Source organism: Homo sapiens, chromosome 20 (genome assembly GCF_000001405.40).
Source record: "Homo sapiens chromosome 20, GRCh38.p14 Primary Assembly".
Taxonomy (NCBI): domain Eukaryota; kingdom Metazoa; phylum Chordata; class Mammalia; order Primates; family Hominidae; genus Homo; species Homo sapiens.
This window is the reverse complement of record NC_000020.11, coordinates 54,004,346-54,032,186: the sequence shown is the minus strand read 5'-3', so window position 1 is coordinate 54,032,186 and position 27,841 is coordinate 54,004,346. Positions and strand designations below refer to the sequence as shown.

The 27,841-nt window shown below is 40.2% G+C and overlaps 1 protein-coding gene across 19 annotated transcripts in view; it reads left to right on the top strand.

Annotated features, from left to right (window-relative positions):
* BCAS1 (brain enriched myelin associated protein 1) overlaps window positions 1-27,841 on the top strand; it is a 127,054-nt gene that overhangs the window by 38,408 nt on the left and 60,805 nt on the right. For all 19 annotated transcript variants that reach the window (NM_001366297.2, XM_017028111.3, NM_001366295.2 and 16 more), the window contains exon 4: window positions 3,215-3,795. In NM_001366297.2, the coding sequence (NP_001353226.1) occupies window positions 3,215-3,795 (581 nt within the window). The remainder of the gene's footprint in view (window positions 1-3,214; window positions 3,796-27,841) is intronic.

The following is a 27,841-nucleotide window of genomic DNA, read 5'->3' as shown; positions in this document are numbered from 1 at the left end:
AAGAATGTTGAATATTGGTCCTCAATCTCTTCTGGCTTGTAGGGTTACCAGTGAGAGGTCCACTGTAAGTCTGTGCTTCCCTTTTTAGGTGACCGGGCCTTTCACTCTAGTTGCCTTTAGCATTTTTTCTTACATTTCAACTTTGGAGAATCTGATGATGATGTCTTGGGGAAGATCTTTTTGTGGAGTATCTTACTGGGGTTCTCTGCATTTCCTGAATTTGAATGTTGGCCCCTCTAGCTAGGTTGGGGAAGTTTTCAGGGATGAACTCCTGAAATATGTTTTTCAGGTTGATTCCATTCCCTCCATCTCTTTCAGACACCCCAATCAATCATAGATTTGGTAGGCTTGATTGCTGTGTATTTACAAGTGAAACAGGGACTGACCAATTCCCTGGAATTCTCTCAAAGTCACTGAGTATGTATTCAATTTCAACTGGCGTAAGTTGGGGAAGAGTGATTTATTGGCTTATGTAATGCTAAAGTTCAGCTTCAGGCACAGCTGGATCTAAATGTTTAAATGACATGATTGGGTATCTGCTTCCTGGATTTCCAGGTTCTACTTTCATTTGTGCTGATTCTCAAGTGTACCTCCTATTGGTTTGCAACTCTTTTTTAATAGGAGTATCAAAAGTTACAGGACTTATTTTTATTAGTCTATCTTATGTCAGGTGCCCACCTAGGAGGTGAGCATCTGAGCAAAGGAAATAGAAGCCCCAGGTGATGGACTTGGGTATGTACCCACCTAAATTTGGAGAGCAGAGCTTCAGTTGCATGGAACGTATCACCGAAGAACTCTAAGTTCTTAGAAATTGTCAAAAACACTTTACCCATTCTCTGATATCAAAAGCTACTGTTTGGATTTGCTATAATCACTAAATGCACTGAAGTCTAGTCCAGATACCTGGATGTAAGGAATTTATTCTTTTTCAAAGCAACATATTGGCACTTTAAAATAAAAAAGGTTGTCCATGGAAAGTACTTTGTGTTTTTTGAAGACTTTTTCTCTGGCTATAACACTCTTACTTACCACTAGCTCCTTTGCTTTCCAGCCAGTGGGTAAGGAAGAGAGGAATTAAACTGAAAGATATAAGTTGGTGCTCTTGGCATTTTGAAAAGCCCTTCCCTGTTTTGAATCTTAGCATTTCCCTTTTTGTCAACCATACCCTCTTCTCCTGGCATGGACCATTCCCACAATTCATTTATATTCACTCTGACACTTCAACAGCCTTACTTGCTAACTTTACACCCTGATGCATCCATCTATCACTTACTTATTCTCCCTCTTTTTTTCTTCTTTAGTATAATATTTTCTATCATTATGAATTCCTGAATCACAGAAAAAAAGGTTAAGAAGAGCTAGAAGATCAATATGCTGGCAGGGTGATTTTCTTCAGGTTCAGGTTTATGAGAAACCCCTAACATTCATCCCTGGGCTTGCCCCAGACCATTTCTTCACTGTGCCTCAATGCTTAATCCAGCTCACTCTCCCCCCTTTTTTGTTTGTTGTTTAGTCTAGACACTGCGAGACACTAGAGTTGGGCAAAAACAATTGCTAATGGATGCATGTGTGTGTATGTGTGTGTGTATGTATTTCTCACTACATATTAATGAGCAGTATGAATAGATCAAAGAAATCTCAATTCTTCCCTTTATTTTTCTGTCTTCCTGCAAACAGATATTAAGAAGTGTCTGACTACAGATAGAGCAAGCAAAATGCAATGTTGTCAAAGGCATGAGAGAAACCTGAAAAGTTATCACAGTATCTGTCAATTACTAAGCACTTATTATGGAAAAGGCGTTGTGCCAGATCCTTTGCATGACTTTTCTTCTTTAAGCATTACAACAACCCTGCAGTAGGACTACCAATATTCCCATTTTACAAATGAAGAGATTCAAAGATCTTTAGTGATTTACTCCATATCACACAGCTTATCAGTAGAGAATCTTGATCTTTAACTGGGATCCCAACATTCTTGGTGTTCTTTTTTTCCTGAATATTTCACTGATTTATAGTAGGGTCCTAGAAAAGAAGGACCTTTTATAGTTAATTTAGGTCAAGGTAGAGGTCAAAGGAGAAAGGGTGGATGTTGGAAACAGTGCCCTTGCCTGGAGGGGTTGGAGCCTGTATCCACACACACAGTCTTGACCAGATAACCCTACACCTTTAATTCCACACTGGCCTGAGGTCTAATTTGCCTTCTTGTGTGGATATCTGCTCTTCCAGCCTTTCAAAGAGAAATTTTCTGAGTACTGTATTTTAAAAATCTTCCCATATTCTTAACAGTCTATGCTAATACAAGTCCCTGGTAAGACAGAGAGCGCATGAACTTAGAAGTCAGATTTCTGCCTGAAGCCAGACTCTGCTGCTTACTAGCTTACTGGGCAGCCAGGGGAGGGTGTACTGACCTCTCTGACTGTCAGTTTTCTCACTCATGAATAATGATAACTAATGTTTGTGATATTTATTAAGCACTTAATATATTCCAGGTGCTATTGTACTTGCTTTAAAACTATTAACTCATGTAATCTTCCTAACAAAATTACGAGATTTATTATCTGTCTCCTTTTACCAGAAAGTTGAGGCACAGAAAATTAGATAATCTGGATTCAAAAAGACATTTCAGCTCAGTGCCTCTCAAACGTAAGAGATTTTGTCCTCCAGGGGACATTTAGCAATGCCTAGAGATATTTTTGGTTGCCATGACTGGGAAATGTGACCGGCGTCTAGTGGGCAGAGGCCAGGATGCTGCTAATCAGCCTATGAGGCACGGGATGAGCCTCCCTAACAAAGAATAATCTGGCTTCAAATGTGAGTAGTGCTGAGGTTGAGAAACCTTGTTCTAGCTCCAGAACCCAAGCTCCTAACTGCTGTACTGCCTCCCAGTTGACATCATGACAATATGCTGCTCACGGAGTTCTTACACAGATAAAAGAAGATTAATTAACATTGAATATCACTCATTCCACACCTGGCAGCTAGTGACTTTCCATTAAGTAGCTTTCCCTCCTCACCAACCTTGCCTTCTCCTCTCCCAAGAAAAGCAGGGTCCAAGGAGATGTAGAGAGCTAACTTCTGCCTTTCAGAATGACCAGAGAACAACACAGTTCCAGTATGCAGTATGGCTTTTGTATAAAAAATGTCTGGAGTCCATTATTAGTGCCTGAATTTCCCGGCTTGGCTGAATAACCACTGTTTATGTTTGTGTTTACAGTCGACTTGGGAATAAGTGTCAAGACGGATAATGTGGCCACTTCTTCCCCCGAGACAACGGAGATAAGTGCTGTTGCGGATGCCAACGGAAAGAATCTTGGGAAAGAGGCCAAACCCGAGGCACCAGCTGCTAAATCTCGTTTTTTCTTGATGCTCTCTCGGCCTGTACCAGGACGTACCGGAGACCAAGCCGCAGATTCATCCCTTGGATCAGTGAAGCTTGATGTCAGCTCCAATAAAGCTCCAGCGAACAAAGACCCAAGTGAGAGCTGGACACTTCCGGTGGCAGCTGGACCGGGGCAGGACACAGATAAAACCCCAGGGCACGCCCCGGCCCAAGACAAGGTCCTCTCTGCCGCCAGGGATCCCACGCTTCTCCCACCTGAGACAGGGGGAGCAGGAGGAGAAGCTCCCTCCAAGCCCAAGGACTCCAGCTTTTTTGACAAATTCTTCAAGCTGGACAAGGGACAGGAAAAGGTGCCAGGTGACAGCCAACAGGAAGCCAAGAGGGCAGAGCATCAAGACAAGGTGGATGAGGTTCCTGGCTTATCAGGGCAGTCCGATGATGTCCCTGCAGGGAAGGTAAGTGTGCCAAGGTGTATCCACTTGGTTCTGAATGCATGCTCGGGGGCGCTAATGGGATAAGACCACTGCACATATGCAGTCACCCTGGGCCTAGGCAAGGTGGCAAGCTGTTGACCCCTCTAGAACAAATAGCACATTGCAGCAGAGTGTCATCCTGATGTTTCTCTGGGTAGAAACTTCTGTGTGAAGAACAATAACAGCTGTGGCATCTGTTTTATGTAAAAGAAAAGAGGAGGTGAGTTACATGCAGATGAATTTGTCCATCCATTTTTCAAAGGCGGAAGTAGACAGGTTGCGTTTACGATCAGTGGATTCTGGAGGAAAAGGCATTAGTGGAATAAAAATGATTCCTAAAAGATGTTACCTAGTCTCTGTAGTTTGTTGACATGCAGAGTTTTGTTGGAACACATTTCGTCCCTTACTGTTAATAGCCTGAATTGATATTTAACCATCTTTTGCTCTAAGGTGTGTGTTTGAATAAGGAGATTTTACAGCTCTGGGCAGACTCTTTTATGTAGTAATTCTTTTCCAACAAGTAGGAGTAATAAACCTTTGTAAAAACTAGGGGTTTTGGGTTTTTTTTTTGTTTTTTGGGGGGTTTTTTTGTGTTGGTTTTCAAAGAAGGTATCCTGGAATCAGTTGCTTTTTTTCCTGAGCGAAGAAAGGCAAGCTCTTTTTGACACTAAAAAGAGCATTTGCTTTTAACCTTGAGAGAGCCTGTTTGTATTCAAGGCAGGAAAAGAACTCCTTAAAAGAAGAAGGAAGTAAAACTTGATACATTATAGGTTTAGGGCATGCATTTCCTTGGTTAACAGACTTTTTAAATAACAATATTTTTCAAAACTTGGGAATAAAGTTAAGTGCCACTAGCAGACTTCAGAGCCAGGAAAAAATTGGATGAGCTCCAAATATATTTGTCTTAATACAATGCAACTTTGCACTTCCGAAGTGCTAATAATTACACTTGCTGTCATTTATTGAAAATGTTCAATGTGCCAGGCTCTACTCTGAGCACTGTACGTAAATTATTTTCCTTAATGAAAATAAGTATCACGTTAATCTATGGTTTTAATGCATCCAGGGTGCTACGAAGAATTACATTATGAAGGCTGGGCACCGCTGAACACTCTGGAGAGTTAAAATTGGGAAAAGATAATAGTCATCATGTGTTTTAGGCTCTTACTGTCAGCATTCTTGTGTTTTCTATACATTTTGATTCAAAGAGCTTATTTCCAACATTTCTTTCAGAGTTTAAACATTTTCCCTTCAAACACCCACTTTCCAAAATTCACCAGTTCAAGAAGCCGGTTGAATAACTTTCCGTATAATTTAAAATAAGTCTCCAAATGCACCAGGCATCTGCTCTTTACTGAGTGTGACACTGTACTAGGAACAGGTGAGGCACAGGGACCACAGTGAAGGGCGAGACACAGAGTCTCGGCCCTGGTGGAGTTTGCTGTCCAGTGAGAGAAGTGAATAAATAAACCTGCAATTGCAATGCAAGATGCCAAGTGCTGTGCTGGGGGAGCAGAGTGTGGGGGAGATGCCAGATGCCAGGAGAACTGGGCTCCATGGCCCAGGGAACATTCCAGCAAATGCATGAACCAGGACCTGAAAGTTACGTGCCCAGAGGCGGTAAACTAGTCGTCAATATTCCTGCATATGGGAGAAACTGTTTACTACTTGCGCCTGAGTGGAGAAACCATTCTCATTATTGGTCATAGGCTTCTAAGGCCATTTTGAGGTTGTGATTTTTTAACAGTCATGTGTTTGTTTTGCTTGGGCATCCAAAGCCTATCCATTGGCTCAGTTAGGAGAAGATTGAGTTATTTATGGGAAGACAATGAAGGAATGTGTTTTACTCATCTTTGGACAGGTGTCCGGTGACTCATCCAAATCCCCATCTTAATCAAGTAAACCAGTTCAGCATAGAATAGCCAGCCCTCCAATGTACTCAGCCATAAAACCTCGACACACTCAATCTATTTCTAGTCTAAGAAAAGTGAGGAAAAGTTTTGGAGTTGTGATTTATTAACTCAGCTTTCTTTATTGAAAAAGAACTCTTAGGGGTAGAACCTCAATTTGAGTGGAATGTGTTCCAAAATGAGATTTGAGTCAGAAAATGGGAGCTTGTGTTAGGAACATGGCAGGTATCTAATATAGCAAAGCCCTTGTGTAATATTTTCAAGTTATAATGATCTCTCAGAAGACCCAAGAATTGTAACTGTCTTCCTTTCTGAATAAGTGAATTCACTCCCTCAGATTCACCAGTGAAGTCTGCATCTGATTTTGTTACATGACAAATTTCCATTTTTTTCAGTGATATTGAAATTTGAAATACTGAGTGCCCACTTTGTACTATGTACATGAGAAACACAGAAAAGTTATGAAATAGCCATTTCTCCCTCAGCCTGTGAACTTATGGATATTCAGATGCATATGCCTGCAAAGGTTTTTAACAACAACAACAAAACAGCCTTCTGATTGTCAAGGTTTCTTTTCTGACTCCCGGCTGCATAGTTCTGTATTTAGGGGGAAAAAAGCAATTGTTCTATAAATGTAATGGGACAATCCAACCCTCAGAAAGTAACATGAATAAAACTTCTCAATCAGTGGCTTTCTTGGTGGGAGTACCACATTGTACATGGCTGGATGTCAGTGTATTGATTCAGAATTCTTAGGGTGAATTATGCCTTGGGCTCAGCCGCATCTACTGCCTCCCTCCAGCAGCCCTTCCCCCCATTTTTATGGCTTGCTCCCTGCTGGATTGGAATTCCAGCCACAAGCCCACAGAGCTGTGAATTGGGAGAAAGATGCCACCATTTCATCCTGGGGGAAACATACAAATCTTCTGTGTTTTCAGAACGACAATCTTATTTTTGTGCCTTATAAAACTACATTCAGGGCAAAGCATAATTAAAACAAGGCAAGAATTCATGAACAAATGAAGCGTTTACTACATAGGCCAAAGAAAAGATAAATTATATGCCTGAAAGGTTTCACTGAGCTGTGATTCATACAAACCAATGTGTTGGCAGGGATGAGGTTTTTTTCCTCTCCCCACAACAACTGAACCAGAGCTGTAAGATATGCATTTAAAAGATTCAACACACACACACACAAAATCACATAATGCAAACTTGACCTTTATTGGTTAAAAATAAAACCCACCACATTTCTGTTATCAACACAGTACTTCCAGAGTTGTGTTTGTGTTGAGTGGGGGTGTGGGGCGCATAAAGTGTTGCCATGCAGAGTTTCATAAGATGAAGAATGTCTTTTTTCTTTTAAAAGTGTAATTAAATCCTGCAATCGTTACTTTCGCACTAACCTTGTGCAAGGCATTTGAAAAATAAATCATGTTTCTCGTCTGTCAAGGAGTGTATAATCTAGTAAGAGACATAGTATTTTAAGAGACATTGTGATAAGTGCATCGGTCCTCAGATTGGCTCAGGCTACTAATAATAAGAACAATATTCTGTGTTTTCACTTCTCTTCTTTTCTCTCTTGAACACACTCCATTCAGGCTCTTGTCACAGCCACCATGATGTTTCAAATTCCCTACCATCACCCTGGCTGCCAAATCCTATAGGTCTCTATCTTTGTCCTAGTAGGTCTGACCTGCAAGTTGAATCCGACACAGTGACTGAGTGGGCCACACCTTGCTGTTTGAAACAACATCCTTCCACCTCCCTGGTACTCTTCCATCATCTCCTTTGCTGGATCTCACCCTCTAAATGTTGGACTTCCCCAGGGTTCACTTCTTGGCTATCTCTAACTACGCTTATTTCCTTGAAGGTTTCCCTCAGTCCCAAAGGTTTAAATACTGCTATGGGTTGACAAGTTCCAAATTTACATCTCTAGCCGGGATCCATCCCTGAAGTCCAGACGTGAGTCTCAGCTGCCTCCTCTTCCACATGTCTACTTGAATTTCTACATCCCCATTTGGCTGCTCACTGAGTATCTCAACCCTAATGTGTCCAGAATGGAACTCTTCATTCATCGCCTAACAATGACAAAAACAAAATGCCCACCAGTTTAATTCACGGGGTTTTCCATCTCAGTGAATGACAAGTTCATCCTGTCTCTACTGTTTAGTGGTAGAATTGGAATTAAAGAACTAAGGTCTCCAGAGTCCTTTCCTACATGGTATTTAGTAGTGAATTAAACATAAGCATCATAGTCAAGTAGCCTAGGTTTCCTCTCTACCTCTGTCACCTACTGGCTGTGTGATCTTGGGCAAGCTACTTCACCTCCTGAGCCTCAGTTTCCTCATCTGTAAAATGGGGATAATAATAGTATCTAGCACATTCTCACATTGTTCACACTTTTAGAAGTTAAATGAGATAGGCCATATAAAGTACTTAGCACAAATTGCATTTTGAAAGAAGAAAAAGAGAAATTAGCTATTACCAGTATTATGGGTTTTCTCCCTGTCTTCTACTTCACATTTTACTTTTATTTTTTGCCTTTCCCTTCCATAGTCCTCAACCCAAACTCACAGAGATAGCACAGTTGACTCTAATTTAAGAGTTGTATAACCAAAGGCACAAGTCCTAACTTGGGTGAGAAAGGTATAAAAGTTGTAAAATTATTTTTGAAACAATAGAAATGTTAGTGTCCATGCCCATAAGCCTCAGTTTCTTTGTCTGACATTTAAGGGTTTCCACAATGTTTCCTCTGCCTATTTTCCAACTGCATTTTCCACCCTTCCCTTAAATTTCTCCAGTCAATATGGCCAACACCTGACCTGTGCAAACGCCATCTGTCTCCTGGTATTTTCTCTGCCTATGTCCCTTTCTCTCTCTGTTTATCAAAAATTGACTTGATATTCAGTGCCAGGTTCTCCATGAAGCTAACCAGATATCTCCACTCTTGGATGATTTCGGACAGCATGAATCCCTCTCGCATTTTAAGTCAAATTCTGTGATTAAATCATTTTGTAGAAATCAGCTCATTGAGCCATCAAATCTTACCAGGGAATTCCTGTATTTTCACCATTTTACAGATGAAGAAGTCAACAGTTCAGAGAAAGCATATCACTCCTGACACACAGCTAAAAGGTGGCACAGCCAAAATTGTCCATCTCCAAAGCCCATAGTCTTAAATAGTCAACGTTTCTATTTTTGCCAATTATTTGAAACTTGTTCAATGAAGTTACAACTTGAGGCAATGAAATTCAAAGATGTTAGCATATGCAAAGTTGTAAATACCCAAAATCCCAAGTGAAAAATAAAAACAAATAAAAAGAATTACCGAATTTCAACATTAGAAGGCCAAGTGAATTATTAACTGTTTTTTATTTTGTGTTGTTTCTGCCTTATGTCCACAAGGCCATGCCTTTTCAACTGGTAAAGAGAACTAGCCACCCAAAAGACTTTGTCAGTGCAAAGGGAAAATCCATCTTACATTATGCAAGTTTTGGAGTAAACAAGGTCCTCAGCTATACCACTGGGATTTTGATGCATTTAGCAGTAAGAAACGCTTAATATGAGATGTTTGCAGTGGCAGAGGTGATGTGGAAGTGTTAGGAGCCTGGGTGACCTAGGTATGAGTCCAGACTCTACCACTAAATAGCTGTGTGGTTGAGTTAAATGACAATAATAGCCCCATTTTAAAATAATTCATTATTTCTAGGCTGTGCAGTAAGCATTTTGCATACATTATCTGTTTTTATTGTTAAAAAAACCCAACAAGGTAGGTATTTCTATTGCCATTGAACAGAGGAGAGAACTTGGGGAGAACTTAAGTTACCTGCGTTAAGGTCGCAAAGCTAATTAGTGGCAGAAGTGGAATCGAGATCCATCTGTCACCTAAGCCTGTTATACTCAATCATTTAAAAACCTGTGTTTTCATCCACAAAAGGAAGCTACTACCTGCCCTAGGGGTTTTTGTAAAGTTAGAAGATAATATAGGCCATCAGTAGTAGTCATGCTAAATAAAACTGTATATTTTCTAAATTGTTAGAAACTTAGAAATGAGTAATTATGAAATAGATCAAATGGCTTTTCAGAGTGATGGAGTTTGAATAGTGTATCATTTAGGGGTTGGTAATATATCATTTTTACTTTGGCTGCAGGAAACACACACACACACACACACAACAATCAATTAATAGTGGTTCACTTAACAAGGAGGATGTACTATTTCTTGCATGTAAAAAGAACCCTAGAGGTAGGGGAGTTCAGGTTGGTTCAACATCTTCACAGCCCCCACAAGCCCGCCTCAGTCTTTCTCTACTGGTGTCCTCCATTGTTGCTTAGTCCCTAGGCTTAGTCCCTTGTGGTTTTAACATGATTCCAAGTATGCAGGAGTACCTCTCTTTATTGTGCTTCACAGATGCTGCATTTTTACACATTAAAGGTTTGTGACAATCCTGCATCAAGCAAGTCTGTCAGCACCATTTTTCCAATGGCCTGTGTTCACTTTGTGTCTTTGTGTCAGCATTTTTTAGAGATAAAGTTTTTGTTGTAATTTTTATTTTAAGTTCTGGGGTACAAATGCAGGATGTGCAGGAGCCCGGGTGACGTGCACGTGTACCCCAGAACTTAAAATAAATGTGTGCCATGGTGGTTTGCTGCACCTATCATCCCATCACCTAGGTATTAAGCCCAGCATGCATTAGCTATTTTTCCTGATGCTCTCCCTCCCCCAACCCCCGACAGGCCCCAGTGTGTGTTGTTCCCCTTCCTGTGTCCATCTGTTCTCATTGTTCATCTCCCACTTATAAGTGAGAACATGCGGTGTTTGGTTCTCTGTTCCTGCGTTAGTTTGCCAAAGATAATGGCTTCCAGCTCCATCCATATCCCTGCAAAGGACATGATCTTGTTCCTTTTTATGGACACATAGTATTCCATTGCAGCACTATTCACAATAGCAAAGACATGGAATCAACCCAAATGCCCATCAACAATAGACTGGGTAAAGAAAATGTGGTACATATACACCATGAGACAAGGTATTTTTAAATTAAAGTATGTACTTTTTTTTTAGACGTAATGCTATTGCACACTTAATAGACTCCAGGACAGTGGAGAACTTTTATGTGCACTGGGAAACCGAAAAATGTGTGTGACTCTATTGTGATATTGACTCTATTGCAGTGACCTGGAATTGGACGTGTAATATTTCCGATGTATGTGTCATAATGTCCTATAAATAAGAAAGGAGTTTCCTAAAATTTATCCTCAGAGCCCTTTGGTGAAATTGAGTCACGTGTCTGTGTCAAGGTGCAAATAGCTATCAGCCAGCATTTTCAGTTTCTTCAGTAGAAAGAAGGCTCTTCCAGCAAAGAGGACATGCCACAGATAGAAACCAGATTTATCTTCTCTACCTAACATTGTCTGGAAATCATTAAGTGAATGGAGCAAGTAGAAGCTGCTACAGTATCCACCTATGGTAATTCATCTGAGTGTATCCATTACATTAGTTTTCTAATTTAACTGTGACCCCATAGTAAGAACTAGATTTTACTTGAGCTGATATACATGCGCATACATGAAACAAAGAATTCATGAAGTAATACTATTCTTGCAGCATGTAACACCTGCAGGGATTTTGTATTCTTTTCTATTCTGTTTGATTTGTTTACTGCTGGTTTTGACCCACTACCTTATTTTTAAATCTGCTAATGATCACAGTCTGAAATTTGGAGAACGCTGTTCTGTTATCTGACCACTTCGACACATTGAGACAGTTATCTTAAGAGACGTGACCATTTTTTATGCAACTGAGTATTCCCAATGCCTAGCACAATGGCTGGCACATGTTGGCATCCAATAATGTTTGTTAAATGAACCTGACAAGAATAAGGGTGGTACACGTCATGGTTCAACTTTTCAGACTGTTAGGATGTATTATTGCAACGTCATTATCTGCTCTGCCTAACACAAGTTGAAATAGAAAGTCATTGCAAAATATGTGGTGTATACGATTTCACTTAAACTTTAGAATCATAGTACAAGTCTACATTTGTACTATCTACTTGGTATTTTAAATTTGGTCTTTAACATGTCATGGCGTTAATCCATTGAAATATCTAGTAAATTGTTTTTTGCAATTAATTTGTAAAATAAATTTTGAGTTATCATTCCCTCTGGTATTGTCCCATCTGACTCGCCCCCTCAGAAGTTGTAACGGCTATAACTTATCAAGTTTACTAAGTCACGGAGAGGTAAAGTAACTTGTGCAAATCATAGTGCTAGAAAGTGGCAGGGTGGAAATTGGTCACCGATGCCCACACACTTAACCACTGTGCCTATAGGTTCAAAGAGATGAAACACTTTAAAACTTTTGAAACATCTTATATCTTTAAAAAATTCTAAAGTTAGTTGTATTAGTCAGGGTTCTCCAAAGGGACAGAACTAATAGGATAGACGTATATGTGAAAGGGAGTTTATTAAGGAGAATTGCCTCACATTATCACAAGGTGAAATCACACTATAGGCCGTCTGCAAGCTGAGGAGGTAGGAAGCCAGTAGTGGCAGAAGTTCAAAAGCCTCAAAAGTGTGGAGGCCGACAGTGCAGCCGTCAGTCTGTGGCCAAAGGCCTGAGAGCCCCTGGCAAACCACTGGTGTAAGTCCAGGAGTCCAAAGGCCAAAGTACCTGGAGTCTAACGTCCAAGAGCAGGAAGCATCCAGCACAGGACAAAGATGAAGGCTGGAAGACTCAGCAACCCAGCTTATCCCACCTTCTTCCACCTGCTTTGTTCTAGCCATGCTGCCAGCCGATTGGAAGGTGCCCACCCACATTGAGGGTGGGTCTTCTTCTCCCAGTCCGCTGACTCAAATGTTAATCTCCTCTGGCAACACCCTCATAGACACACCCAGAAACAATACTTTACCAGCCATCTAGGCATCCTTCAATCCAATCAAGTTGACACCTAATGTTAACCAGCGTGATAGTACTTTCCAAGTTGGTCTGTGGAACGTTAGTCCAATAAGATGGGCCTAGAAATAGGGCTCTGCTATGGAATAGTTTCAGAAAATCTATTTGCTTTATAGTCTCTACTGAAGATTCACAATGGACATCCACCTACTAAAGGCTCTGAGAAGTCCTGCAGCAAGCACGCCTGTTTCACTTTGTTTAACCAAGTGTTTCTCAAACTTAATCATCCATGTAGCTGTTGGGCCTCTAACAAGGTAGCTCAATTTTCCAAGGAATGGTTCTTCTAGAGAACGTTGAGCTAGGCATTTAGACCAGAAGTTGTATGATGTTGGCTGTGGGTTTGAAGAAGTAAAATAAAATAAAAAACATAAACCAGAAGTTGAAAACTAGCCATCTGTAGAAGGCCTCTAGCCAGAGATGCATCTTACTTGGCCTACATAGTGTTTTAAATAATATTTTAATTAATTAATTATATTTTTGAATTAACAAAGTTGATGATATTTTAAAGCAATAATATGTCAATACAATTCTATATTTCAGACTTCCCCATAATGGGTAGTTTTGCCCTATATTTCCAGACAGAATGTGAGTTGTGACTGTCCCTTAAGATGGGGCACCCACTCTCCAGTTCACCAAATGATTCCCAGCAGCGCAGCCATGTAGGTTGTCCTTCGTCATAACACTTGCATTGGTATTTTTCTTGGGTACAGTTGAGAATCAAGTAAATACACCCATCATGGACCACTTTACTTCCTTCATCCTTCATAGCACTTATCAGAATTTGAAGCTACTTAGATGACCATCTGTCATTCCAGCCTGAGAGTCAATCAGGCAGCCAGTGTTAAGCAATATATAAAAGGGGTGGGAGGCTGGGCGCGGTGGCTCACGCCTGTAATCCCAGCACTTTGGGAGGCCGAGGCAAGTGGATCACGAGGTCAGGAGATCGAGACCATCCTGGCTAACACAATGAAACCCCGTCTCTACTAAAAATACAAAAAATTAGCCAGGCGTGGTGGCGGGCGCCTGTAGTCCCAGCCACTCGGGAGGCTGAGGCAGGAGAATGACAGAGCGAGACTCTGTCTCGAAAAAAAAAAAAAAAAAGTAAGTGGATACTTTCATTTATTCATGCAACAAATATGAGTATTTCCTTTGTGCCAGGAATGATTTTAGATTCCCCAGCAGGTAGAACAGTGTACTTCATGGGAGCTTTCCTTCTAGTGGAGAGACCAACAATTTAAAAAAGAAAGAGAATTAACAAGCAAACACTTCCAGAGTTTAGAAAGAGCTCTGAGTGAAATAAACAGAGTTTTGAGATAGAAAGTAGACAGGAGAGTGAAAATCACAACTGGGTGAGGAACAGAAACAGAGAAGTGTTTAAACAGTCAGTGAATAGCATGTGACTTTTTCTTTCTTTCTTTGCACGGGCCAAACAATTCTTAGAAAGTCTGCAACCTAATTCTGGCAGCATTCAAAACTGTTTTCTCGCTTTGGGGAAGTGTTTGTTAAATAGATGACGAATGTGTTCTAGGCTGTGGATTATTAGTTTTTTGTATTTAAAGGCAGGTTTTCTGGTGTGGTTTTTGTTTGTTTTTTGTTTTTGTTTGTTTGTTTTCCGTAACATTGGGTATTTTTCCTTTAGTAAATGTGAAATGCTGTCACCAGTCTGGAAGGTTGTGCTTGTTAGGAACTAATCATGGAACAGAAGAATCTTCCACAAATCCCTTTTGCCCAGTGTGGCTTACCCTGGGAATCACTCTTCACTCACTCTGCCTGCAGCAGTATTTTTCCATTTTAAATCACACATATTGGCCGGGCGTGGTGGCTCACACCTATAATTTCAGCAGTTTGGGAGGCTGAGGCAGGAGGATCACTTGAGACCAGGAGTTCAAGACCAGCCTGGCCAACATGGTGAAACTCCATCTCCACTAAAAATACAAAAATTAGCCAAGCATGGTGGTGCACGCCTATAATCTCAGCTACTCAGGAAGCTGAGGCATGAGAATCGCTTGAACCTGGGAGATGGAGATTGCAGTGAGCCGAGATCGCACCACTGCACTCCAGCCTGGGCAACAGAGCGAGACTCCACCTCAAAAAAAAAAAAAAGAAAAGAAAAAAAATCACACATAAGGGAACTATACTTAAGAGTGTGCCAACTCATGTGTCCTTAGGACTATCCCCAAAGCAAAGCCTGCTGCCAAAAGGGAAACAAGAGAAGAACATTTTATTGCTTAATTCTCTACCCACATTTTACTTGCCATTGGAACTCAAGTTGACAAATTCACTTACCCCTCAAGCAGAGGAGTTGCTGAGGGAGAAAAGAGAAAATGTACACTAGCTTTATATGGGAAGCAAGTGTGCGTTGCTTTCTTAGATAGATTTCTTTCCCCCCTCCCCCTATGTGAACAACAGACAATGCTTTATTTAATCTTACAAATGTAACATCTCCACATCAGTTAATAACTATGGATTAATGATGATGTACCATGCTAAGGCCCTGGGCTAGACTTCTGCTACCCCCGTGTGAGATGAGCCTTAAGTATCCTGAGGTTATGTCCACAGGGTAGTAAAACAGGTAGTGATGTTGTGATTTACAGTAGAGAGTATCACACTGGATAATTGGTCCAACCCGGCTTGGTTCAATTAGTATAAGCAGCTGAAATTAACATTGCCTCTCTCTTCCCCAAAAGAGGAAGAAAAATGGCTAAGTGGAACATTTTTATATCTGTGTTATCCAGACTCAATTTCCATCTCAGAAAAGATGCCAGAGGACAATGGAAATCTAGATTTCTTGGTTTTATATTTTCATGTTATTTTATTTCCCTCTGAAGTCTTAGATAATTTCTTAATCAACTACCTGGACCACTAAGAAGCTTGTTTCCACCGTGGCGCTTTGGCAGTATGCAATTTTAAAGTCTTCAAACACACATGCTTTCTGAATGAGCAAATCTGCATTTAAGAATTTATTGATTGATAGGTCAGGAGGGTGACTATAGTTTACTGTACATTTCAAACTAGCTAGAATAGAATAAGTCGAATGTTTTTAGCATGAAGAGAAGACAAATATTTGAAGTGATGAATATCCCAAGTACACGAATTTGATCTTTACAAATTACATGAATGTATTAAATTATCACACGTACCCCAAAATTATGTACATCTATTATGCATCAATAAAAAATGTTTAAAAATAATGTATTGAGAACATGATCAATATTTTATGCATGGGGCTTTAAAAAATTTCCAGTATTGTCTGTAAGAAAAAAAGCTGAAATGATCCAATAGGTCTTTCATATTGATTGTGGCACACCCTTACACTAGACACCGTAAACGAGGGTGACATAAAAATAGAATTGGTCAGGTGAAGAAAGTGATAGTATAATGTTAAATGAGAAAAGCAGATTTCAAAATAGCATGCAGAAGAATCTCCTCTGGGTAAAAATGATCTCTGCCTTCCTGTGCCATAGCTCTGTCATCCCACCCAAAGAGCAGCGTGGAATAAAAAATTGCAAATTGTTGACAGCAGTTGACTTTCAGTAATAGAATAATCGATGCATTTCGTTTTATTCTTTGTTATCTGTATTTTCTCTTTTTTATAAAAGGAGCACTGTAGTGAACCACCAATCTAACTAAAAGTAAAAAAATGCCACCATCTAGGTAATTTCTCGATTCCTCCTCTAGACTGCATTAAGAGGCTGAGGATTCCTGAGCTGTGTTAATTAGAAATTGCCACAGGCTGCTAGCAACAGTTCAACAAGAGGTTATTTTCCTCTAACAATAATTTCCAAACTATGCCACCCAGAGCTTATGTGACAATTCATTGTTCAGAAAGAATAACAACTTTTTAAATATACTTATAGCTAATGTGTAATCATCTCCAGCAGGAGATCACAAAGAGAAATGTTGTCCTAAGTGGGCAGATTTGAAGCCCTTTCATAATTGGATTTCCTATGGTTGTGCTGTCTGTGTTCTTTCCCTGTTTTTGCCATGGGCTTGAAAGATGTGAATGCATTATAAAAAAAAAACTACTCATTGAATTTTTATCAGTTGATGTGAATTGGGTAGGAGTAGTGGAAAAAATAAAAGTACAGAATTACCTACATTAATATATATTTATTGACCTTCCTTCAGTGGCTTTGAGCACTGTAGTAAAACAAACTTAAAAAAAAAAAGAGTTTGGGCATGGTGGCTCATGCCTGTAATCCCAACACTTTGGGAGGCCAAGGGGGGTGGATCACCTGAGGTCAGGAGTTTGAGATCAGCCTGGCCAACATGGTGAAACCCCATCTCTACTGAAAATACAAAAATTAGCCGGGCATGGTGGCACATGCCTGTAATCCCAGTTACTCGGAGGCTGAGGCAGGAGAATCACTTGAACCTGGGAGGCGGAGGTTGCAGTGAGACGAGATTGCACCATTGCACTCCAGCCTGGGCAACATCTCAAAAAAAAAAAAAATCATAGTCTGCTTAGGAAATTCTGAGATTCTGCAAAATATTTTTAGTATTGGTCTTCACATTCCTTCCTGCTTGCATATTAATTTGCTTTCCTTTCTAGGCAAATTGGGGGACAAATTCTATCTTCAAAAATTAACCAAACCCTATTTTTCTTCCTGAATCTGACAATGGCTACACGCAGGTGACAGTGTTTTCAGAAGAAGAAAAATGAAGACTTCGTGATTGTCCAGAGACTATTGTTGTCCAGCAAATCGAACCCTCTGTGCTCGCGTGATATTCTCTGGGGAGAGGAAGCAGAGCCTTCCCTTTTATCCCAGGCAGCATGGGGCTCAAATTTCTGACAGATGGAAAGGAGTGGAGTCATGAGTTTCTGTACCATTCAACATTTTTCACACAAATTTTCTTGTGTTCACCTGTACTTTCAGTACTGATTCGTGGTGTTAAGACTAAGAGTAAAATCAGTGCTACACAATGAGGAAATCTAGATGGAGTAGAGGCATCACAGATCATTCCAGACAAGGCTTTTTAAGCCTTATCTTATATTTTCACTTTAACAATGTAGATCTGCTTAAAGGAGTCTGAAGTCCAGCTGACAATAGTTGAAAGAAAGTGCCAGAAGTTCCATATGGGCCTTATTACAGACAATCAAATTATGATAAGGCGGCATTATTTTTCAACATGACAAATTGTAATCACTTTAGCAGTGTTCCTATCTGTTTGCTCTTTGAAGCCAACAAAAAAGAAAATATATATAAACTTCTCACACAGAGGTGAAAAACAAGCTAACACCACGGACGCCTGTTTGCTTAAAAACAGTTTCCAGGTATTTTCTGGAGAATGTTTCTGTTTCCGTATAATGTTGTTTGCTGAGAATGATTCGGAGGCCTGATGAGAATAGCAGCAGCACCTACAAATAACATGTTTAAAGCACAGGCCACACACTGGTGGCCTGAAGGCTGGACTCTCATCACAACTGTGCTTAGCTTGGCCCTCTTGATGTTTTTAAATTTTTTTAGTTAATCATGCATATTTTGCTTTAGTCTTAATTTTAATACGTAACATATTCACTCTGTTCAAAACAAAAAATTATAAAATGCCACCCAGTAGATAATTGCTGTTTGTATTTTTAATGTATCTTTCTAGGGTTCCTTTGAGCATATATAAGAAATAAAACATAAATTCTTTTTCTTTCTTTTTTACACAAACGGTAACATAATATGCACTCTGTTCTATTCCACGCTTGTTTTCAGTTAACAATACTTTCTGTATCTGTAGGGAGCTTCCTCACTTGTAATGCCTGCAGAGTATTCTGTTGAATGGTTGTACCATGAGTTATTTAACCAGGACCCCATTTAATGCCCATTGGCTGGCTTCCAGACTTTCGCTATTAACCTCACTGCAATGAATAACCTTGTACATTTGTTATTTCACACGTGTGAGTTTAGGTTTATCCTCTACATCAACTCTTAGAGATGGAAATACAGGGTAAAAGAATATATCCTTTTTACAGTTTTGGTACACAATGCCACTCTGCCCTCCATCAGGATTGAATTAGTTTATACTTGTAACAGCAATGCATGATTGCCTTCTTCACACAAGCTTGGCCAATGAATGTTTTTGTAAACATTTGGATTTTTTTACTTTTCAATCTTCCTTTTCATGACTTCTGGATTTCTAGTCATACACACAAAAGCCTTCTCAATCCAAAATGAAAAGCTGTTTTCCATGTTTCCTTGTATTATTTTTAATCTATTTGGATTTTATCCTGGTAGAGGGTTGAGTTGTGACACCAAGTTAATTTTTTTCCAGATGGCTGCTCTGTTTTTCCTACATCTTTTATTTAAAAGTTCTTCACTTCCATAGATTTTAGGTATCATCTTTATCATATACTAAATTCCTATATGTCTTTGGAATTTTACCACCTTGTTATCATCAGCCATACAACGTATGCATGTATGCCTGATGCTAACATATGTTGTATGGTTGATGGTAACATATGTTGTATGGCTGATGGTTACAAAGTAGAAAAATATACAGCAGAGAAAAGGAATAAAGTGGCAGGAACTTAAAATAGGAAAGGACTTGCTGAGAAGATAATATTTGAGTAAACATCTGAAGGAAAGGAGATAGAATCAGTGCAGCACAGCACTGAAAAACCTTTGGCCTCTGAAATCAGCTGGGCCTGGGATCAAATCCCAACTCTACTTTATGACCTTAGGCAAGTTATTTATTCTTTCTGTGCATTAATTTCTTCATCTGTATAATTGGAATTACAAACAGTGCATGCTTCATGGGATCGTTGTAAGAATTAAACGGGATCTTTTTAACAAGCTTAGCACTGGGCCTGACACATAAAGGCTGATCATTTTTACGGTTATCATGGACACTTATTTTGTCATTACACACTCCTTAAATAATTCATGGCTGCAAAATATTCCATCACACATTGTTATGGGTTAATTTCACATGTTAAAACCACATGCGAATTTATTTAACTGCAGATCCCAAAAGTTCAACTTTTTAAGTGGTTCTTCATTGTTGCTCTTCCAGAATTATCCTATCAAGCTTTTTTTTTTTTTTTTTACTTTTTAACTTTGAAATTATTGTAGATTCACATGCAGCTGTAAGAAATACAACAGTTATCCCTTTATCCAGCGTCACTCAACGGTAACATCTTCAGACCTGTAGTGCAATATCACAACCAGGATATTGACAATGATACAATCAAATAGAGAACATTTTTATCCCCACAAGGATACTGCATACTGACTGTTCAGGTGCATCCACTTCCCTCTCACCCCCATCCTTTTCTTACCTCCTGCAACCACTAGTCTGTTCTCCATTGCTATAGCTTTATTATTTCAAGAATGCTATCTAAATAGTATCATACAGTGGGTACCCTTTTTTACATAGGCTTTTTTCCCCTTCAGCATAAATCTCTGGAAATTAATCCGAATCACTGAGTGTCTTGGTAGATATTGGTCCTTTTCGACTGCCAAGTAGTATCCCATGCTGTGGAAGTACCAGTTTGATGTTTGGTTGTTCCAACTTTGAGGCTATTGTAAATAACTTTGCTATAAACATTAATGCATAGGTTTTTGTGTGAATATAATTCTTCATTTCTCTAGGAGAAATGACCAGGAGTGCAATCACTATAGTTGCATGTTTTATTTATTTATTTATTTTAAGTTTTTGAGATTGGATCTTGCTCTGTTGCCCAGGCAAGTGCAGTGGTGCCATCTTGGCTCAGCCACCCAGGGTCAAGTGATCTTCCCGTCTCAGCCCCCAGAGTAGCTGGGATTACAGACACTTGCCACCACGCCCTGCCTGCATGTTTAATTATTTAAGAAACTGTCTAACTGTTTTCTATTCTGCCTGTATCCCTTTACATTTCTACCAGCAATGTAAAGTGATTACATTGTAAAGTGAGTAATCGAGTTTCTTGCATCCTTCCCAGCATTTAATAGTCACTATTTTTTGCTTTAACCACTTTGATGGGTGCATAGTGATGTCTCGTTATGGTTTTAATTTGCACTTTTCTAATGGTTAATGAGATTGAACATCTTTATGTGCTTATTTGCCATCTGCATATCCTCTGCAATGAAATGCCCCCTCACGTCTTTTGCCCATTTTCTAATTGGATTGTTTTGTTTGTTTTTAATGTTGAGTTTTAAGAATTTTTTTCTTTTAAATGTATTCTAAATACTAGTCTCTCGTCAGATACGTGGTTTGCAAATATTTTCTCCCACTCTCTAGTTTCTCTTTTCATCTTTTTAACAGGATCTTTTACAGGGCAAAATTTTTTAGTTTTGATGAATTCCAATTTATTATGTTTTCTTTTTATGGATTTTGCTTTTGGTCTTTGGTCTTTTATGGATTTTTTTAACCATAGGTCTCAGAAATTTTCTCTTATTTTTTTCCTAAAAGTTTTATATTTGAGGTTTTATGTTTAAGTCCACGATCTCTTTTGAGATAATTTTTATATAAGATGTGAGACTTAAATTGAGGTTCTTTCTTTTCCTCTATAGATGTCAAATTGCTCTAGCACAATTTGTTGAAAAGACTATCTTTATTCTGTAGAATTGCTTTTACACCTTTGTCAAAAGTCGTCTGGGCATACTTGTGTGGGTCTTTTCTGGCTTCTCTATTCCATTGGTTCTATATGTCTATGTCTCCACCAATACCATACAGCCTTGCTTACTGTAGCTATATAACAAGGCTTGTGATCAGATAGACTGATTCATCAATTTATATTTTAAAAAATTATTCTAAATCCTTTGTCTTTCCATATAAATGTTAGAATAACCTCATCTATCTCTACAAAATGTCTTGCTACAAGTGCTGGAATTTTGACAGGAATTGCATTAAACCTGTATATCAATTTGGGGCAGATTGACATCTTTACTATGTGAGTCTTCCAATCCATGAACATTGTGTGTCTCTCCATTTATTTAGGTCTCCTATGATTTCTTTCATTAGCATTATATAGCTTTCAGCATACAAGTTTTGCACATGTTTTGTGAGATGTAAACCTTAGTATTTCATTTTCGTATGATTATTATGGTATTGTATTTTTAATTTCAGTGCCCATGGGTTCATTCCTAGTATATAGAAATCTAGATCATTTTTACATGTTTATCTTGTATTCTTCAGCCTTGCTGAACTCAATTATTAATTCTAGGTGTTATTCTGTTGATTCCTTGGGATTTTCTAATTTTGAAAATAATGAAATTGTCTAATTTTGCCATCTTCTCTGGGGACAGTTTTATTTCTTCCTTTTCAATGTGTATTCCCTATATTTATTTTCTTGCCTTAATATACTTCCTAGAACTTCCACTACTATGTAGAATACAAATAATGAGAGCTGACATCCTTGCCTTGCTCCTAATCTTAGGAGAAATGCATTCAGTCTTTCAGAATTAAGGATAATGTTAGTTCTCAATTTTTATTTTGTAGATCGTCTTTATCAAGTTGAGGAAGCACCCTCTGTTACTGTCTTCCTTAGAGATTTATCATGAATGGAGGATTGAATTTTGTTGAATACTTTTTCTGCATTCACTGTTGTGATCATGTGATTTTTCTTCTTTAGTCTGTCACTATTGTGGATAACATCAATTGACTTTCAAATATTAATCAAGCTTGCAAACCTATAGTAAATCCCATTTGGTTATGATGTATACTTCTTTTGACATATTGCTGAAATCTACCTGCTAATATTTTGTAAAGAATGTTTGCATCTATACTCATGAGGCATATTGATCAGTAGGGTATTTTTCATTTCTTTGGTGCCATCTTTATCTGTTTCTGGTACCAAGTTTTTGGTAACTATCTTTATAAAATAAATTAGTAAGCATTCCCTCTTCTGTTTTCTAGGAGATTTCATGTAGAATTGGTGTAATTCTTCTTTAAACATTTCATAGAATTCTCCAGTGAAGTCTTCTGGGCCTGAAGACTTCTTTCCTGGAAGTTTTTAAATTATGAATTCAATTTTCTTAATAGTTATATGGATATTTAAATCATTTATATTATATTGGGTCAGTTATAATAGTTTGTGTTTTTTGAGCAAATGTTCCATTTTGCCCGTTATCAAATTTATGTAGGTAGCATTGGTTATGGCATTCTCCTATCCAGTTTTGTACCTGATACTGGTAATCTGTACCTTGACTCTCTTGCTCTCTCTTTTTTGTTGTCATCTGTTGTCTCTACTAATAGAGGTTTTTGCTGCTGCTTCTCTCTGTCTCTCCCATTATGCTGTTGATTTCACTCACTGGGCTTTTTGTTTTCATTATTATACCTTTCAATTCTAAAATTTCCATTTTAGTTATTTTTATATCTTCTATTTCTTTGCTGGGGCTTTCTATTTTTTCATTTGTTTCAAGCACTGTTACAATTGTTAATTGAAGCATTTTATTGTGACTACTTTAAAATCTTTGTCAGAGGCCGGGCACAGTGGCTCACGCCTGTAATCCCAGAACTTTGGGAGGCCAAGGCGGGCAGATCACTTGAGTTTAGGAATTTGAGACCAGCCTGGCCAACATGGTGAAACCCATCTCTACTAAAAATGCAAAAATTAGCTGGGCGTGGTGGTGCACACCTGTAATACCAGTTGCTCAGGAGGCTGAGGCAGGAGAATTGCTTGAACCCGGTAGGCAGAGGCTGCAGTGAGCCAAGATTGTGCCATTGTGCCATTACACTCCAGCCTGGGTGACAGAGCAAGACTCCGTCTCAAAAAAAAAAAAAAATCTTTGTTAGATAATTCTAGCATCTCTGTCATCTCATTTCCAGGTTGACATCTGTTGATTGCCTTGTTTTATTATGTTTGAGGCCTTCTTAGTTCTTGGTATGGTATGACAAGTTATCTTCAATTGAAATCTGACCATTTTCATATTATGAGACTGCATCTTGCTTAAACTTTCTATTTTAGCTGGCTGTCCCGGACACCATTCCAGCAGTACTGGGGCTGCTACCTCATTACTGTCAGGTGGAGGCAAACATCCAGGTTTCTCACCAGCCTCCATTGTTGGGGGGCGGGGGTATACTCCTTATTACTACTGGGTGGAGGCGGGAGTTTTCTGCTCACATGACCTTCACTGATACCACAGTGGAGGTCTCATTACCACTGGCTGACGCTAACTCCACTGGGTCTCTTCTCACACCACCCCAGTGGGGAGAGGGAGGAGCATCTCATTGCTCCTGGGTGGGGTTGGAAGTCCAGGCTCCCCATGTGGTCCCCGCGGACACCATGGTGGGGAGGGCTTATTACCAACCGGTGAGGATGAGAATCCCAGCTCCCTACTTAGCCCCACAGATGCCATCTTGCAGGGGTATTGGGATAACCTATTACGGTCTTGTGAAAGTGGAAGTCTAGGCTCCCCACTTGGCTTTCTCTGGCATGGGAGATGGTGAGACCACAGAATGTCCTGTGGTATTTGGCTGGAGTAGTATGGTCATTGTCTAAAAGTTTTCTGTCTTGCCAGATTGCCCTTTCCTGGTCCTTTAGTCAGAGAGAGTAGGCTTTCGGAAAGGATTTGTGAGTATGTCAGAGCCTATAGGTGTTTCCAGGTTGCTAATTTCTTCAACTCCAAGTCTGGGGTACTTGAGGCAAAAAGAAAACCCAAGGAATTCACCATCGTGTTTTTCCTCGGGTCCTCAGCTGGTCTGCCTTCTCTTCTCCACCTTTCAGAATCCTTTTATGTATGTTTTCTCTATAATGTCCAGGGTTCTTCATTGTCCTTGGTGAGAGGAACAGGAGAAAGTGTGTGTGCCCCATCTTCCCAGAAGCAGAAGTCTTATGTTATTTTTTAATGTCAATCTAAGAAGAAAAAAAAAATATTTCAAAGTAAGGGCTTAAGTTCAAGCTGAGAATTTCACCTGGAAAGGCCATAAAACTCTCACTCAGGAAGAGCCACAGGCAAACCTACTCCTTGCCCTGGGCCGGCAGATCTTGCTCCTCCATAGCTACTGTCTGTCCAAGGCAGGAGACATTACTGCAGTTGGGAAATCAGGGAAGCAGAGAGGCTAGAGAAGATGTCATGGGGCAATGCAGAAAGGCAGCGGGCTCCTGTGTTCCTGGAGTTCTTTTGAACTGTGTCTGCTCCAGTAGGGTTCTTTCTCCAGGTTACGGAAGTACTCACAGCTTTCTTCCTCATTCAGAGGGCGTCCATCATGGCAGATCCTGATGGCCACCTAGATCCATAGGGTCCACTTGATATTTTAGTAATTCCTAGTCCCTTCAGCTGACATCACTGTATTCCATTTTGTTTTGAGAAAGTTCAATAGATATCCCCTGTATGTCTAGCCCTGGAACCACAAAAAAGAATCATTGCCTTGCAGCCCTTTAGGAAACCCAATCAGGACAGGAGCTGCGGGCAACCTAGACATAGCCCCTTTTATTTTCTGTGATGAGCACTGGGGAGCACGTGGGCTGTCAGACCGGAGTAGCTCAGAGCAGTGGACCCAGGCTGGGGATCAGAAGAGCTACCTCCTTGCCTCCACGCCAACTTCAGAGAACCTTGCCTACTGTCTAAGTAGCCAGCAGCCCATCACCTCACCCTCCGTGGCCTTGCCTTTTCTTTTCTCCTTAGCAGCCCTCACCACCTGAGTCATCTGTGAGATGTATTAGTTTATCTGTGTTTTTGTCCACTTCGGTTTTTTCCCTTGTGAGAATTTCAGCTCCCCAAGGACTGTGAGCTGTACTCTCACTGCCTCCATCAGTGGGAAGCACACAGTAGATATTTGATCAAAAATTTCTCTCCTAATCTTTCATGACACCGTAGGCAAGTCCCCAGACTTGCTGTGATTCAAAAGTCCTGTTCAATCCAACTTTTTTTTTTTTTTTTTTGAGATGGAGTCTCACTCTGTCGCCCAGGCTGGAGTGCAGTGGTGCGATCTTGGCTCACTGCAACCTCCACCTCCTGGGTTCAAACAATTCTCCTGCCTCAGCCTCCACCGTAGCTGGGATTACAGGCATGCACCACCACGCCTAGCTAATTTTTGTATTTTTAATAGAGGCGGGGTTTCACCATGTTGGCCAGGCTGGTCTTGAACACCTGACCTCGGGTGATCTGCCTGCCTCGGTCTCCCAAAGTGCTAGGATTACAGGCGTGAGCCACCATGCCCAGCCCAATCCAACTTTAAAACTTTAATCACACATTCATTATAACATTCATCCCAATTCCTGCTAGAACCAAGCTCTGCCTTGACCATGGCCTGAGGTCCTTGCAGTCTGGAAGAAGGGGGACTTGCTTTTTTTCCTCTTCTCGTCCTCCCCTAGTGCATGTGAGTTTAGGGAGGAGGGGTTAAGGGGAAAGGGCTCTAGGCTTTTTGCCTTGCAGATTGTTCTCTCTGACTCTCCATATCTTCTCCGTTGTGGGCATCCACATGATGTTTCTCTTCAGGGAATAGGTGGGGACTTCTCCACTTCAAAATTATGTGATGGAACCCTCTGCTGCTTCTGCTGCTGTTTAGCCCCTTTGCCCTGTGCCCACCATCCTGGTAAGGTAGAGTGAGGCTGCCTGAGCCCAAACACCTTCCATGGCACCTACTCCTTAAATGTCAGTCAACACTTCCTCAGTCTGACTCCAAATTATTGTTATAACCATCTTGCTTTTCATAACCCCCATACCTCTGCTGAACTGAATAACCTGCCCCCTAAACCCTCCCCAAACCCATCCCCACCTCATCTTTTTCTGCATTTCTCACATGCCTTCCTCCATGTCCACTTGACAGAAATTTCTCCATCACCATCCCGCATTCCTCCCTGTTTCTGCGAGTCTACTTGCAACCTATGCTCCATGGCCTTGGGGAAATGCTGCTTCATCTTCAAGTCTCCCTCTCCCTTCTAGTTCAGTCACTCTTGACCTTGGTGCACACTGGAATCACCTGGGGAGGTCTAAAAATATTGACATCTGAGCCTCGCCTCCAAAAAGACTAATGTAATTGGTCGGGGTGGAATCTGGGTATTGGCATTTGTTTAAAAAGCTGCCCAGGTGATTCTAAAATCCAGTTATGCTGAGACCCACTGGGCTGATGAAATTAACTTGTCTTTTTTTTCTTTTTATCTTGAGACAGGGTCTTGCTCTGTCACCCAGGCTGGAGTGCAATGGCACAATCATAGCTCACTGCAGCCTTGACCTCCCTGGCTCAAGCAATTCTCCTGCCTCAGCCTCCCAAGTAGCTAGGACCACAGGTGCATGCCACCATGCCTGGCTAATTTCTGTTTTGTTTTGTTTTGTTTTGTTTTGTTTTTGCTTTGTTTCATAGAGACAAGGTCTCACTATATTGCCCAGGCTGGTCTTGAACTCCTGTGTTCAAGCAATTCTCCTGCATTGACCTCCCAAATTGCTGGGATTACAGATGTGAGCCACTGTGCTTAGCCTCACTTGTCTTTTTATCAGAGTACTTGTCCCTATCTACTGACCTTTATCCACCATAAGGCTCCAAGCATCTAGGAGAGAAGACAGTGTCAGATTCATTTTTGTAAATCTCACAGCTTACCACAGTGCTCAGTAATTAAATTAAACACAATAATAATAGCTAACCATTACTGAATGCTTCCTCTGTACTGCACATTCTCCTAAGTCCTTTATATGGATTATCCCATTTACTCCCTCAACAACCCTAAAAGGCAGGTGCTACTCATCACCCCACTTTTACAAATGAGCAAATTGCAACCTAGAGTTAGGGAAAGTGCAGTACTGCAGAGGTGTAGATGGCAGAGCAGGGATTGGACCTGGGCAGCTGGCCTCTGCACAGCTTGTATGTAGTCACATTGAGGGTTAGGATTTGGGGAGACACAAACTTTAAGTCCACAATACACAGTGAAAGCATAACTTCAGAGCCCATGCTAATGCTGTGTGGCCTCTGCACAGCTTGTATGTAATGTAACTACCCCCACATAGTTACTGAGTGAGGATGAATTCATGAATGGTGCTCCTGGGCAACACCTTACTTAGGCCTGTGGGGAATTTCTCAGTCTAGATTTATGTCTTGTGCCACTTTCATAATGACTCATCTTCAAGACACCTGTTCAGTTATTCATGTAATAGCTTTATTTAAAGTTTACTTTATATTGAACTTCACCTACACAAAAATATCCATAATATGAAAAGGTTGATGCTGGACATATTTTTCTAGTGCACATTGTCTTAGTTCAGGCTGCTATCAAAGTACCATAGACTGGATGGCTTATAAACAACAGAAATTG